Consider the following 16,720-nt stretch of genomic DNA (forward strand, 5'->3'; position numbering starts at 1 on the left):
TAGGAGTCAAATGTTTAACATAAACTATTGGTGGCAATTGTTATGAAGAAAAATGGAGAGCATAAATGTCTAGTCTTGTTCTACTCCCTTTAAAAACGACCCACTATTTCTAGGGTGGGTCAGTAAGCTGCAGAGTATATATAACACGATTTAGCAGGTCAACAGGTCAGGAGCTAATTACTTGTAGATCACATCAACCTCTTGAAGACTGAATCATCTGGAGATGTGTTACAAGTGACTTAAACAGATAAGTACAGCATGGACTCAACAATAAAATGGGAGATAATGGTTAAAACAAAGCTAAGCATCACATCAGAGTAGGATCCTCACATGACTTTATTCCAGTAATGTAAATGTTCCCATCCCAGCCCTCATTCACCACTACTTCCTCTTATCATTGAGGAAACAGGCAGAGACAGAATGGAAAGGCAGTCAGCTTAATTTAAGAAACTTTCTTAAGTTTAGAAATACTGAATTAGTTTTAACCCAGAAAAAGAGCTCAATTGAGAACTCTGAGGTTTGCAACCTTAAATCCCGCCTAAATTCTGATATATTCCTGCCAAAGGCAACCTGATTGAGGTTACCTGAGAAATAGTTTTTCTACAAAACATGGCCAACCATGCTCAAGACAAAATTACAACACATAATTTATCTTCGGCATTCTTCAAATTATTTACCTCATCTCCTGCCCCCAGCACCTAATCCCAGAATACAGGAATTTGATGATGTCTACACAGCCTATAAAAGTCCACAAATTTAAGTGCCTACTGTGTGAAAGCCATTTTGGGGACTACAAACATAAAGGATGTATAATGCCACCCACTAAGATGTTCACGCTTATGATTTAGTAGGAAAAACAGAAGGCTGCCTTACAGATATTAACAACCAAATTTACAGGCACACCTAAAACATCCCGAATTCTAAAATATATATGTATTTTCCAAATCCTACAGGGTAATATGACTATGAAAGTGCACTAGGAATGTCAATTTAACTAAATCCTCTGAGAGCATCCACATTTTGAAAGAGTTCTCTTTTAACCTAAACAAACAAACGAACAAACACTCCTCTCACTGAAGTTCATTCGGCATTGACGGGTCTCTGGTTCTTCAAGTTTTCATCTAAAACTCTCAGTCTTTGCTATCACAACCAACGCACCCTTCCTACACTCCAAAGTTGATGGAATGAAATGTCTTGGAATTGAGGGTTTAATTAATTCGGATCACTGGAGAGAAATAACAGAAATAACGGGGGAAAAAATGTGTCCATTTTAGGGCTTGGAATTGGAAACGTGGGGAAACGTCGCCACCTTCTGGTAAGTGATGGAAGTGAGCAGGAAAAAAGATCCAAGCTAAGAAGCGGCTTTTTTTTTTTTTTTTTTTTTTTTTTTTTTCTAAGCAGCAAGCCACGCACCTCCCGCGCTGGCGAAATCCGAGACCCGCCCCTTCCGGAAGTTTTGACACTTTGTGCGCCCCGGGCAATGCGATTGAGAGGGTAATCATCCGGTCCGTTATCTAAACCCGTCACTCCGGGAAACAGCGACCCGATCTTTCCGGATCCGCGCTCTCCCAGCATCCTTTGCCTTCCGGTATGTGGCCCCGTCTGGCTAGTCCCGCCTAGCGCGCCCATTTCGAGCCCAAGTTTCCAGCTCGGGTTTCCAGGCTCAGAATTTTCCAGGAGTAGGTTCTTGGGCAGTGGCTGTGGGAGCTGGAATGGCGCAGCTGGAAGGTTACTATTTCTCGGCCGCCTTGAGCTGTACCTTTTTAGTATCCTGCCTCCTCTTCTCCGCCTTCAGCCGGGCGTTGCGAGAGCCCTACATGGACGAGATCTTCCACCTGCCTCAGGCGCAGCGCTACTGTGAGGGCCATTTCTCCCTTTCCCAGGTGGGGTCCCCAACCTGTCCCCACCCCAGGAGAGGCCTGAGAGGTCCCAGCGTCCCCACGTCCTCCCATCCTTAGACTTCACTCGTCCTGTTCCACCCCCTCAAGCCTCAGAACATGAAAGAAACTGGGTATAGTCTTTTGTTCCTGTCTCTGAGATCTGTGAAATATTTATTAAATGAATGAATAAACAGCAGATCTGTCCTCCAGGAAGGAGTGATCTGGGAGAATACTCAACGGGGAACTGAGCCCTCCTCTTGGCAGCTGACGATATCGATCCCACTTTGTCTTTCCTTGTTTTAGGATTAAAGGCATTCGGGTGCTCCTTGGAAATACCAGAAAACTTTCCTTTAGCTCACCTGTCAAGCACCTCACTGTGCATTTTAGGGGTGGGATAGGGTGGACTGGAGGGATCTTCAGCTACCAAAAAGTGACAATTTATAATCACAAATTCCTTCCCTGGGTATTTTTAGTGAACTGTTAACTGGATAAACTGGCAACCAGTCAAGTCACATCATTTTTGAGTATATATTTGACTGTGCAAGTATGTACATATAAATATCAAAATAAGCATCCCCTGCTTCTCTGGTGACACAATATAGGGTACTGGCTAGAAATATAAAGTCTGTTTTAGAGAAAGATCTGATCTTAAATCTTGGTGCTGTGATTTACTAGTTTTGTGATCTTGGAGATGTTCTGAGTTTCAGAAATTCAGGTTACTCATCTGCAAAATGACAATAATCTTTACTATAGGGCATATTGTAACGTTAATACAGAGGGTTTGGCAACAATTTCTGTCTCAGTTTATGTTAGCTGTCATCATGGAGCCTGTGGTCCAAATGTTTTCCTAAACTTAAGAGTCCCAAACAATGTTTCCATGCTTTTAAAAACTGGAACATTTGCAGTTTATTTATCAAAATAAAGGCTTTTAAAGAACATTTCTTGGAAAATAGAAATAGATTTTAAGTTGTTGTTGTTTATTGGTTGCTGCTACCTGAACCATCACTAAGCTGGTCCGGGGGCAAAAAATAAGAAAAACGAATCCTGTTCTGCCAAGGACTTACTTAATCTTGTCATAGAATAACTTCTCAAAATTTCTGATTGTTGCTGGAGATGAGACTTGGGCTTGACATATTTGTGCCTGTCTTGTTCCTATTACCTCTTGCTTTTACTTCATTTTCTTTCATTTTAAAGTGGGATCCCATGATTACTACATTACCTGGCTTGTACCTGGTGTCAATTGGAGTGATCAAACCTGCCATTTGGATCTTTGGATGGTCTGAACATGTTGTCTGCTCCATTGGGATGCTCAGATTTGTTAATCTTCTCTTCAGTGTTGGCAACTTCTATTTACTATATTTGCTTTTCTGCAAGGTACAACCCAGAAACAAGGTATGTTTCAAAATACTTAATTACAAGTTTATGTGTAGTCAGGTCCACAATTACAATGAATTAGTTTTATGAGATTTGGTGAAAAATGTCTTTAACACTTTGTAACTTTGTATTTTTGTATATTATGTAAAGGTAAATTTAAATCCTCCATCTCCATTTTAGAATAAATTCGTATTTAAATACTTGAATAACTTATTTGTAAAATCTGAAGTAAATATTTGTTAAGTGAGTCAAACCAGTTCAATAAATACTTACTGAACTTATTCCATGTGCTAGGGACTGGGACTACAGAGATAAATGAGGCAGTCTTTTTCTTGTAAAACGTATATATTCATTAGGGAAAACAGACTTTACCTGAGGACTTTTGATGTGATAACAGTGCAGGCCCTGGAGGTAGATTGCCTGGGTTAGAATTCTCTCCCTGCCACTTAACCAGTTTTGTTACCATGGACAGGTTAACCCTTAGTGGCTCCATGTCTTCATGTATTAAATAAGAATAACAATAGAATCTGCCTTATAGAACTGTTATAAAGGAACAAAGAAACTTAATAAATGGAAGATGCTTCGAACAGTGCCAGAGATATAGTAAGGGTTCAGTAAATATTAACTCTAATAATTATTTTTAACCTTAAGAGATGATTTCAGTAGTGTCAGTTATGATAGAGTGGTAAACATAAGATGCTATGAGGATACAGAGAAGGAGCAGGGGAACACTTACTGCTTTTCTGGGAGGGAGGGGAGTATGTGGCATTTGGTAAGTCCTCACAGAGAAGATGGTACCAGAGCTGAGTCTTGATGAACGGATAGGGCTGTGTAGGGTGGGGAATTAATCCTGGGGAGACAAACAACATAAGAAAAGGAAGAAAGGCATTGAACAACGAGTTGCAGGGAATTGGTCTTGGAATTACAGGATTAAAAAGTAGAGGGATGTAAGGCTAGAGAAGTAGGTCATGAATGCCCTTATGTGTCACAGAGAGGACTTTGAACTTTAGCATGTAATGTAAAGACCTTAATTTTAATCAAGGAAATGGCATGGTCTGATTTGGTGATTTAGATTAAGTGGAGTATACAATTCAAGAACATAAGAACACTTTCAAATTCTGAAACAGCATGTCAGAAAGGCCAAAAGAAGATATATAACTTTAGACAGGCTCACTTTTCAGAAAAATACCTGTTATTTCATCATGAAAATTTCATCTTGAAAAAGTAAGTCTGGGTATGGTAGTATACCATATGCATGTTTATATTCTCCCTTGTGTAGAGTTATGAAGGATTTCCTTAAAGGAAAGTGGTTCATTATGGCTAAGTGAATCCTTACTGAAGGCACTAAAACATAAGCTCAGGGAAATGGAGCCAGCACCGTGTCCTATTTATCTCCATAGTCCACATAGAACTTAGTTAGTATCTTGCACTCAATAACTCCTTAACTAATCATTGCCTGATTCCAATTGTGTTAAGCTATAGAAGATTTGGCATACACATGGTCTCCAAACTGATAGGTATACATAAAAAGTACCAGGAAGTGTTCTTATAAATGTATATTGTGTTTTTGCAAAGCCAGAGATAAGATTAATATTGATTAATTTTATTTAAAGAAGGTTTGAGTAGTTGAGTAGTTTTTAAATAAATTTCTTCATTAGGTAAGCAGAAATAGCATTTTTTGTCATGAAAATAATTTTATCTGTGTTTCTTCTTCCTCCAAGGCTGCCTCAAGTATCCAGAGAGTCTTGTCAACATTAACACTAGCAGTATTTCCAACACTTTATTTTTTTAACTTCCTTTATTATACAGAAGCAGGATCTATGTTTTTTACTCTTTTTGCGTATTTGATGTGTCTTTATGGAAATCATAAAACTTCAGCCTTCCTTGGATTTTGTGGCTTCATGTTTCGGCAAACAAATATCATCTGGGCTGTCTTCTGTGCAGGAAATGTCATTGCACAAAAGTTAACGGAGGCTTGGAAAACTGAGCTACAAAAGAAGGAAGACAGACTTCCACCTATTAAAGGACCATTTGCAGAATTCAGAAAAATTCTTCAGTTTCTTTTGGCTTATTCCATGTCCTTTAAAAACTTGAGTATGCTTTTGCTTCTGACTTGGCCCTACATCCTTCTGGGATTTCTGTTTTGTGCTTTTGTAGTAGTTAATGGTGGAATTGTTATTGGCGATCGGAGTAGTCATGAAGCCTGTCTTCATTTTCCTCAACTATTCTACTTTTTTTCATTTACTCTCTTTTTTTCCTTTCCTCATCTCCTGTCTCCTAGCAAAATTAAGACTTTTCTTTCCTTAGTTTGGAAACGTAGAATTCTGTTTTTTGTGGTTACCTTAGTCTCTGTGTTTTTAGTTTGGAAATTCACTTATGCTCATAAATACTTGCTAGCAGACAATAGACATTATACTTTCTATGTGTGGAAAAGAGTTTTTCAAAGATATGAAACTGTAAAATATTTGTTAGTTCCAGCCTATATATTTGCTGGTTGGAGTATAGCTGACTCATTGAAATCAAAGTCAATTTTTTGGAATTTAATGTTTTTCATATGCTTGTTCACTGTTATAGTTCCTCAGAAACTGCTGGAATTTCGTTACTTCATTTTACCTTATGTCATTTATAGGCTTAACATACCTCTGCCTCCCACATCCAGACTCATTTGTGAACTGAGCTGCTATGCAGTTGTTAATTTCATAACTTTTTTCATCTTTCTGAACAAGACTTTTCAGTGGCCAAATAGTCAGGACATTCAAAGGTTTATGTGGTAATATCAGTGATATTTCGAACTGTGAAAATGGACTTAATAATTAGACCATTTCTACAAAGAACAACTGAATAGGTGGAAAACATGGAATTTCTTTTAGGTGCAGTGGTGGTCTTCAAATTACATTAGTTTTTTTTATATATATTTTAAACATATGTAAGAAATTAAGTGGCAAAGAACTGAGAAAGCTTAAGACCTGCTTCAAAAGCCTGAAAAATGGAAAAATAAAATTGTTTTCAGATATCTCATATCACTCTCATAATGTTGGCCCCTTAAAAAGCTTGGGAATGTTTTGTATGTACAAGTTTATTAAAACTGGGTATGCTTCATATTACTGGAATGAATTTATTCTCTTCAGAGAGAAATATTAGGTTAGTGCAAAAGTAATTGTGGTTTTTGCCATTGAAAGTAATGGCAAAACCACAATTACTTTTTTACCAACCTAATAACAATGTATTAGCAAATATTTACAAATGGTCAGGTGATATTCTTGATTGAAAAGTTGCTTAACATTTCAGTAATATAATTTTAATTCTAAGTCAAAATACAAATGCATAGATAGTAAATGATAAAGTAGAGACTCATATATGCCTGTCTAGACATCAAATTGTTGGTTATTGTTTACAATCTAGAAATGATGAAGCTCTTTCACTAATTCCTAATATGAAATGTATGATGGCCAAAGACAAATTGTATTGATTATAATCCTTTAAAAGGGGGATTTCCTTTCTGAAATACATATTGTATTAGCTTCCCAGGGCTTCCATAACAAATGACGACAAACTTGGGTGCTTACAACAATTTTCCTCACAGTCTGGAGGCCAGAAGTCTAAAATCAAAGTGTCAGCAGAGTTGGTTCCTTCTGGAGGCTCTAAGGAAGAATCCATAAACAGACATTCTATGTCTGTTTCCTAATATCTTGTGGCTGTGTGCAATTCTTGGAGTTCTTTGGCTTCTGGACAAATCTTGTCCAAGTATTGCAGACAGCAATCTTCACTCCAGTCTCTGCCTCTGTGTTCACACGGCCTTTCCCTCTGTCTTCTCTTCATTACCTTTTAAGGACAGTGTCTTTGAATGTAGGGCCCACCCTGATCTAGGGTGATTGTGTCTGGAGACCCTTAATTATGTTTACAAAGACCCATGTTCCAAGTAAGTTTGTATTCACATGATCTGAGTAGACATTGTCTCTTCGTGGGATACTTTTCAGTCCATGACAGTTACTAAAGGACATTTTAGGATAGTCTTCATATGATTGTTAGGAGACTACCTTTTTAGATTTTTTTTATTATATATCAAATTATAGTTGTATATACTTATGAGAAACAAAGTGGCATTATGATTTTTGAATATAATGTGGGATTAAATAAAGCTAATCTATCCATCACCTCAAATATTTGACATATTTTGTGATGAAAACATTTGAAATTTACTCTCAGCAGTATTGAAATGTACAGTGCTTAATTATTAGCTGTATTCACCATGTTGTGTAATAGATCTAAAAAAAGTCAAACATGCTCCTTCTATCTAATTGAGGCTTTGTATCTTTTGATTATCATCTCCCCATTCCCACATCCCCGGCCTCTAGCAACCATCATTCTTCTCTCTACTTCTGTGAGTTTAATTGTTTTAGATTACACAAATAAGTGAGATCATGTGGTATTTGTCTTTCTGTGCTTGGCTTATTTCACTTACCATAATGTCCTCCAGGTTCATCCATATTGTTGCAAATGACACAATTTCTACCTTTTTAAAGGCCAAATAGTATTTTATTGTGTATATATGCCACATTTTCTTTATCCATGCATCCATTGATGGACATTTAGGTTGATTGAATAACTTGATAATTGTGACTTGTCTGCAGTGAACGTGGAGTGCAGACTTCTCTTTGACATACGGATTTCAAGTCTTCTGGATAAATGCCCAGAAGTGGGATTGTTGGATCAGGAGATAATATCTTAGCCGATACCTTTTAAATAACTCTCAGTATCTTTACTGAGAGGTTAAAAAGTAAGTGACTTCTGAGGTAATATAAAGCTAAAGGTGACTAGTGTTTGATTCCATTATCTATTTAAAAAAATGTCAGAATTGAAAGTTAAGAAATCATTTGGTCTGACCTTATTTTGTAGATTAGGGAACAACTGCTGGGGTAGGATTATTTTGTGTTACTTTTTGAATTTTGTGTTTATTATTTTGAGTGTATTTTTTGGGTTGTCATTCCATTATAGGAAAGTATTATTTGGGCATGTTAAATTTGACATGTAAACTTAGAATTATGAATAGAACACTTCTTTTAACATAATTTTATGTTTCCAAACTTTAAAAGTAGCTATAAGTGAACAAATTACTTTCCCCTCAATGTCAAATTTTGTTTCTCTGAGTTTTAAGTAATGATTCTACATTTACAAATATAAAATTGTGTGTAGGTGAAAATCACAAGTATAATTTGAATGATAAATACAGACCGTTTTTTGGTTGTACTCTAGTACTCAGAAAATAGAGTTGCATTAGTTATAACAGTGATTGTAGAAAAACGTGTTTTACCCAGACTTTTTAAAAATTAGACGAGAGAGGACACTCAGAGAAATTATACTTTTGTCATTAATTTACTATAATAGAGAACTAAATCCGAGAAGTCAAAATTGAAAAAAGAATGTATAATTTAGGGAAAATAACTTTTTGTCTGATAATATTAATGCAAGGATTTTGTATTTAGGAATACTTCTGAGAGGAGAAGCTTCCACTCTGATCTAGTCTGGCAAAATTGAGGAAAATATTCTACCCTGTAATTAAAGAAGACTGCTCTTTGGAGGGATCACTGTTCTAGATTTTTTTTTTTTTTTTTTTTTTTTTTTTTGAGGAGAAGTCTCACTCTTGTCCCCCAGGCTGGAGTGCAATGGCTTGATCTCGGCTCACTGAAACCTCCACCTCCCGGGTTCAAGCAATTCTCCTGCCTCAGCCTCCCGAGTAGCTGGGATTATAGGCACCTGCCACCACGCCCGGCTAATTTTTCCTATTTTTAGTAGAGACGGGATTTCACCATGTTGGCTAGGCTGGTCTCGAACTCCTGACCTCAGGTAGTACACCCGTCTCGGCCTCCCAAAGTGCTGGGATTACAGGCGTGAGCCACTGTGCCCAGCTCTTCTAGTTCATTTTTAAGTGTTGAGTCCCTGCTGTTTTAAGAGATGTTTTGGTGAAAATCTACATTCAGAGAGAAACAGATTAATCTTCCACATTTTTAATAAAATACATATAGTACTTGGGATTTTAAGAAAAGAATGCCATGTATTAAAAGGTGCTATTTTCAACTGTTTATTATTTTAAAACAGGAATGCTTATCAATACTTTTGAATTTAAGATAAATGTCTTGGTTAAATTTTCTAGGCAGTTCAAAGATGGCCATTTGCTGGTGAATTTTCCAAAATAGGTAACAGATAAAATGATTATGTAAGAACTTGGCACAACATATCCTTTTGCCTTTAGTTGTTCAAGAAATGATACCAAACTCAAAGTCATTCACTTGAAACAACTGAGAAGACCATTCTTAGGTGTTTAGATCCTTGCTTTTAGAAATATTCTTAGTTATATTTGTGTTTTTAAGAGTTATTGAGTGGATTTTTTTTCATGAATTTTTAAACATTAGACTTAGCTGAATTGATTAAAATAAGGTGATTATGAAAAAAAATGTTGCCCTGCTTGAGGGCATATGGAGCCCTACAGTTACCGTTACTAAAGTCTGTGAGTATGTCTGTTTTGAAAAGTGTCATAAAAAGATCTAGTCCATAAATCGTTATAGGTTCAGTAATACATCATTTTGAACTGATTCTATCTTCTGTGAAATTCTAGAGATATGTTATCTTTAGGTAAATTAGTAAGATTTCAGGTATGCTGTGAATTTTGTTACGTTTATGTTTTCCATTAATGGATAGTCAGAAATCTTTTGAACTGCGTCTGACTATATTTAAATGATTTGGAAAGATAGTATCTCTCAGTTTAAACATAGCATCTCATTTTGGCAAGATACATTATTTTAGCTGTCTGGACTTTTCTTTGCCTTCTTAGAGTTATTTCTGAAATGTGCATAGCCAGTCATAAAATACTTTGTATAAATAGCCTAGTGTAATTTATTTCTAATAAATACACAGCTTAATGAAATGCATTTCTAGTTTGAACTTAATTGCCACTTGGCTTGATATTATTTTCCTTAGAATTGTTGGAATAGAGGAGAGAGGAAGGGATCTACCATTTTTATTTATACCACCTAAATAGTGGACTGTTATTTTGGACTCACTTTTAAATAAAATATTTATTCATATGAAGAAATACATTTTGTGTTTATTAGGTTAGCAAGCATTTATTATCTTTGAAATAATTGGAATTTCATTAAAAAGTGAAGCAAGTAAGAATTGTGATGTAAATTTGAAAATTTTTAAATGGAAATTTAAATATGACTTAGGAACCATGGGCTTGTAGAAAAAAACAGTTAACATGGGGGTTAAGATTTTTATATTTGGTTGTGGCTCTGGGATCAATAAGGCAAGTGGTTTAGTCTTCAGTCCTCATTTCAGATGAGAATAGTATTTGTCCAAACTCTAGTCAGTGTCTGATTGGTATGTGTATAACCTTATTTTAAAAAGGATTCATCCCTGCCATATACTCATAATATTTATGTCATATGATAAATATTGAGTAAATATATACTGAATGAAGTTTTTAGTATAGAGTGAAGTGAATAGAAAAAATATCCATATAACCGTGGCTAATTTTAGGAAGTAAATCGTGTTTCATAATAAGAGTCATCCTAAACATTTTTGTGCATAATTTTCTGACCCAGGGTTAAAAATTTTTATTTGCTTTAGTGAAAGTTTTTTCAACTCACAGGCCGCATGTAGCCCAGGATGGCTTTGAATGCGGCCCCCAACACAAATTTGTAAACTTTCCTAAAACATGATGAGATTTGTTATGATTTTTTTTTTTTTTTTTGATCATCAGCTATCATTAGTGTTCGTGTATTTTATGTGTGGCCCCAGACAGTTCTTCTTCCAATATGGCCCAGGGAAGCCAAAAGATTGGAGACCCCTGCTAGCATTTAATGCTTATACACGTATTTACTTGTAAATATGTTGTTTCTTTGATAGGATATGATTTCAACATAATTACGGTTTATTTAAAATAAGAAAAATAAATAACTTTCAACCATTAAGAGGTTATAAGACTTTAAAGGGAAAGTTTAATAGGGTATAATTTCAAAATAATTGCTTTTTATTTAAAATAAGAAAAATCATTAAACTTCAACCAATAACAGGTTAAAGAATTTAAAGGTAAAAGACATTTCAACTAATTACAAATACTTTGTTTTTTTTTAGTTGGGCTACATTTTACCACTCTAGGAATAGCTGTTAATTATTTTTTATATAGGGTATTTTTATGTATTTAATGTTGACAACTGACGTTTCCAATATGCAAAAACTTGCGTAACTGAGAAAATTATAATAAAAATAGAGATTGAGAATATATTTTTAACATATATCCATGAGTCAAAACTAATATTTAATATTTGGGATTTGAAAAATTATTTCTGGGGTAAGAAATTTTGTCACAATATAATATCTGTATATTGTGCTTTTTTTAAGAGAGAAGTTTTTGATGAATTGAATGTTAATTAAATTTTATCTCAGCATATCACCATCAGACCAAAAGATACAGTATTTTTCTAACAAGGAAAAGAAAATACATACATATATGTATTTATATATACAAATTTGTATATATGTAATGTATGTGTGTGTGTATACATATTAATTTCCTCTTTTTTTTTTTTTGTAAGAATTGAGACAGGGTGTCAGTATGTTGCGTGGGCTGGTCTTGAACACCTGCCTCAAGTGATCCTCCCACCTTGGCCTACCAAAGTGCTGGGATTTACCATGAACCACTGTGCCAGCTTCCAACGAGAAAATTATTAAATGTGTTGGTTTTTCACAGTGAAACTTAATTCAGTTTAGTTGAACCATATATGTGTGTGTACGGCATATACAAGATGAAAAAGAAAGGGAGGAAAAATAATAATGATGGTTGCCATCATTCATTGAACACCTGTAATGTTTTAGGCATTATACTAGCTGATTTACAAATATTGTCTCATTTGATGCTACATTTATATTTCTGTGAGGTAGATGTTGATTTCTATTTGACTGCTGAAGAAACTGAAGGTCAGGCAGGTCAGGTGATTTGCCCAAAGTCCGCACTGTCACTAAATGAACATAGATTGGTATGACTCCCAAGCCTGTGAGTTTTTGACCATCATATTCTGCCTCACTATGAAAAGTTTATTTAAATTAATTTTTTTTTAATCAAAAGAAGTAGTATATGGAGAGAGAGGTGAAAATCCATGTTTGCTCTCTGCAGTTTCCAGACCATTCATGGCATGTTATTTTTGTACTGGATATAGTCATTTTTTAAAATGCTACAAACTGTTCAAAAGAGCATGAACAACATGATAACTCCTTATAATTTTGTTGTAAGACAAATGGCTAAAAGTATGTGGGATGTTTAATTTGGATAAGTGGAAATTCTATCACTTGATAAGCTCTCTTGAAGAATAATTATTTGAAAGATTGGACTTAATTCTGTATTGCCTGAAGTGTAAATCAGAAGTCAACAATTAGATTGCAAATTATGAAAAGCATAACTTTTCTAATTGTTTAGTCTTTTTAGAGAAACAAGCCCAGGAAAAAAGTAAGATTCTCATTCATTGGAGATAAGATTTCTATTTATCAAAGATACTTCAGAAGAGTTAGATAGCAAGTAGGTAAAATGTCTTTTAAAGGTATCTGACATCTTTAAAGCTCTGTGATTTTTAAATTCTTAATTTTGTTACAGCTAATTTTTTAAAAATTAATTGCTGAGTCATGGTCAAGTATTTCTGATGACTTACATGCTGTCTTTGATACATTTTAAGTTTCTAAACCAAAACTACTATTTAATTCTGTTACCCTGTTTTAGAAAAACATTTGAGTTATACAACTTACTAAAAGGTATTTTAGCGATGATGTTTTGGAGCACTAGTAATATAGTGTTTAACTTATTTTCTATTTTTTATCCCTCTATATTAGTGAAATTACTTCTCTTTGAAGTTTTCCCCCAGTGATAAAAAAAGGCTGAGCAGTATCTGTAAAAATTTTTAAGGTGGTGTCCACTAGGTGGAGATATTGTGCTACATTTCCAAGTGTTGTAATTAAACTTTTATTAGTCTGAATTAAACTCTTTTATTTTTTATAATCATTTATATCTATTTATCATAATGTTATTCAAATGTTTCCTGAGTTGTATGAAGCTAAGATACAGGTAAAAACAAAACAAAACAAAAACCTCACTTTGTGTTTTGTAATCATTAGACAATTTAACCTAATATATCTTCCCATATGATATGATCTTTTCATATGGCATACTTCATTCATATGACATAGTTAGAATCTTTTCCCACAAACAATGAGTGATGATATCTCATTTGAAAACTCGTGTAACATTGTATCAGCCACTGTTATAAAGTGATTTACCCATGTTAGTCTCATAACAACTCTATGAGATCAGTACCGTACACATGGGGAAACTTAGTATAGAGAGGTGAAGTATTTTTTCCAAGATTACAAAATAGCTGTCTGAGCTGGGATTCATAACCAGGCAGCCTGACTCCAAAATCAATATTCTTAACTCTATTGATATGATGGAGAAAGGCATGAAGTCTATCTTCAAATTCATGGCATTTTAGAAGGAAAAATTGTCACAGATAATGTGATTATACTTCCTAGTTTTATAGGTCAGAAAAATGAAGTCCACACTAATTTTGCCTCTTCCACAAGGAGATAGATTCTCATCTACCATTGTGTCTTTTGTTTCTGTTTTTGTCATCATACCTCAAATTGATATATGTTGTAAATATGAATTTAAGGAAGTAAAAAAAATAACTCAGGGCTGGAGCCTTCAGCCATATTAATATACATTGACATAAAGACCTTTGTTTTAATATGAATGATTCCAGTTACCAAATGGAGAAATAGTTGTTTGAAAATTAATATTTAGCTTCTCAAAAGAGACTCCTATTTGGAAGCAAATTGTTGGTTAAACAGGACATACTTTAGATTTTTGAAAAATTCTCTGTGGAATAACAATCTCTTATTTTTAAGAATGTATGAATATGTGTTCTATATGCTTTTAAGTTATGTATTACATACTGTTCTCTAAAATGGAAATGTTTATTTGGCTTCTAAAAGTCATTTGTGAGTTCATGTTATTTAAAACTGCTTTTCAGTCAACTTATTCTTTATAAAAAAAGTTTGTTCAAATAGCATGTTTTTATTTCATTTCTAAATAAATTCATGTTTGATAATATTTTATAATGTATTATATCTAACACATTTTCTTATCCTAAGCCAAGTATTAGAAGCTTTGTATTTCCCTCACACTGTCCAGTTAGCCATTTTCCCCTGTCTACCACCTACCTAATCCTAAGCTTTATTAGTCATTTTAAAATAGAACCAAATCTTTTTAAACACCTGTGATGTGTGCTCATAACTAGCCTGGGTGTCTGTATAATCTTCCTTTTATTCTCATAATAATAGAAAGCAGTTAAATTACTGGCTGATCACCTTGAACTTGTGGGGGCTTGGGTTTCTTTTTTAGGCTAGGTCTGTAGGAAGCTCAGAGTATTTACCAAACACATCTAAACTTGGCAGGGTTCAAGCCCCAGTCTTTGGGTCTTGTGGTGAAAAAAAGAAAGTGGTCCCTACTCTGTGTTTGCAGACTTCCAGCTCTTACTTTCCATTGGGTGTCTTCGAGTTTCTCCCATCATATGCAGCTCAGAGGTCAGCCCAGGACTTATACACAGATTTTGGGATTCCCTTCTTCTGTGACTCCCTCTTTTCTGAGATTTCTCCTAATTCACAGCTACTCTAGCAGTCCTGAATTCCGCCCTTTCACACCTCAAACCAATCATATTGTACCTTTCTAACTAGGGTGTGCCCTCTGAGGGAAAAGTCATATAAACATGGATCGCACCCAGTGAGATCTTTCAACTGAGTCCATCCAGTTCCTGCCTTCTTTTGTCTACTCTTCAATGTTTCCAAAAAGATTTTTTTCCCCTTTTAAATGAGTCAATCTAGAGGAAAGCTAATATAATAAAAGCTCCTCTGCCATGACCTGCCTAGGAACCTTGTCTTGATTGTAGTTAACATGTGTTATGTGTAGTCTGTTTATTAGATAAGGAAGTTGTGGGTATTACTTTTGGTTTTGAGAAACTAAAACGGAGAGTTCCTGAAAATAGTTTAGGTGGCAAGAGTAAGTTTTTGGAATATGGACTTCTGTATTAGCCCATTCTCATGCTGCCAATAAAGACATACCCGAGACTGGGTAATTTATAAAGGAAAGAGGTTTAATGGACTCATAGTTCCACATGGCTGGGGAGGCCTCACAATCATGGTGGAAGGTGAAGGAGGAGCAAAGTCACATTTTACATGGTGGCAGGTAAAGAGAATGCTTACGCAGGACAACTCCCATTTATAAAACAATTGGCTCTTGTGAGACTTACTACCAGGAGAACGGTATGGGAAAGACCCACCCCCATGATTCAGTTACCTCCCACTGGGTCCCTTCCACGACACCTGGGAATTATGGGAGCTAAAATTCAAGATGAGATTTGGTTGGGGACACAGCCAAACCATATCAACTTCTAATATGGTACTCTAACAAAGTCTGTCATAGTATTTGTTATTAAATGCAATGACAACTTGAGGGAACCTTGTGTGAAAAACATGGTATCAAGAAACACAAAAGTGACCTACTCCAGACAAGATGAACTCACCTAATGGGGGCTAACTAATGCAAAGTACAACATGATTGATTATCACTGAGGAAGAATATAAGAGCTAGGGTGTTTACTTGAGAATAGAAATCACATCTGGCAGAAGGGACAAAGACATACTTCATGGAGAAATTCACATTGGAGATTATTTGTATGGAAACCTGTGGAGACATTGCAGAAAGCATTTCATACAGAATAATGTGATGCAAACAAATTACACAGTAAACTAAACTACCATATGGCTGAGAAGCAGGTGGTGACAGTGGCCAACACTTATGAAGTGCTATGTGACAGGCACCAGTCTAAATTTTGAACATGAATTTATTTAAGCCTCATAGAGATGCCCTAAGGCAAATGCTATTATGATCCCCATTTTTACTGACAAGGAAAATAAGACATAGGGAATTGAAACAGTTTACAAACAGGAAATGTGGCTCCAGAACATGCCCTCTTAACCAGGGCGCTATACTGATTCCTGCTAAACTTGCATCATCTGATGGCCTGTGCATCCAAAGAACTGAGGTTATTTTTAGGAAGAAAGAACAGTGCTCTGCTGTATACAGTGAGGAGCAAGGAAAGCACGTCCCACACACAGACCCACAGATAAATGGGTGTGGAGAGAAAAATAGTTATTTAGAGATGATAGCCAGGTTTCAGTTAAAACTAGAAGAATGGCTCTGTGAGACAGGCCCTCCACTCTCCTGTAGATCCTGTTGTAAGTGATGCAGAAGCCAGAGAGAAGGTTGCTCTCCATCGGAAACATGAGGAGTTTCGGAGACCTCCCTAAAATATTTGGCCTGAAAGGGTTTGAAGCCAGGAGGAGAGATGCAGTCTTAGGAGAAA

At 35.4% G+C, this 16,720-nt stretch overlaps 1 protein-coding gene across 3 annotated transcripts, besides 3 other annotated features; it reads left to right on the forward strand.

The window, feature by feature from the left end:
- Positions 1,366–1,515: a silencer, noted in NCBI's record as "silent region_4342". NCBI's record gives its function as "represses an Ori minimal core promoter by ATAC-STARR-seq in GM12878 lymphoblastoid cells {active_cell/tissue: GM12878}" and the evidence as "EXISTENCE:reporter gene assay evidence [ECO:0000049][PMID:35858748]".
- Positions 1,366–1,615: a biological region, named in NCBI's record as "ReSE screen-validated silencer GRCh37_chr12:34175251-34175437".
- Positions 1,429–1,615: a silencer, noted in NCBI's record as "fragment chr12:34175251-34175437 (GRCh37/hg19 assembly coordinates)". NCBI's record gives its function as "represses an EF-1alpha promoter that drives an FKBP-Casp9 reporter gene in an ReSE screen in HepG2 liver carcinoma cells {active_cell/tissue: HepG2}" and the evidence as "EXISTENCE:reporter gene assay evidence [ECO:0000049][PMID:32094911]".
- ALG10 (ALG10 alpha-1,2-glucosyltransferase) lies at positions 1,490–7,415 on the forward strand. 3 transcript variants are annotated; one of them, XM_024449230.2, is made up of 3 exons: positions 1,490–1,588; positions 3,075–3,272; positions 4,976–7,415. In XM_024449230.2, exons 2-3 carry the CDS (start codon positions 3,084–3,086, stop codon positions 6,026–6,028), a joined length of 1,242 nt encoding a protein of 413 aa, XP_024304998.1. In that variant the 5' UTR covers positions 1,490–1,588; positions 3,075–3,083; the 3' UTR covers positions 6,029–7,415. The 3 variants fall into 3 exon arrangements, with proteins under 3 accessions (XP_024304998.1, NP_116223.3, XP_024304999.1); NM_032834.4 differs by lacking the exon at positions 1,490–1,588 and adding an exon at positions 1,609–1,883; XM_024449231.2 differs by lacking the exon at positions 1,490–1,588 and adding an exon at positions 1,890–2,011.

This window comes from Homo sapiens, chromosome 12 (genome assembly GCF_000001405.40).
Source record: "Homo sapiens chromosome 12, GRCh38.p14 Primary Assembly".
In the NCBI taxonomy this organism is placed as follows: domain Eukaryota; kingdom Metazoa; phylum Chordata; class Mammalia; order Primates; family Hominidae; genus Homo; species Homo sapiens.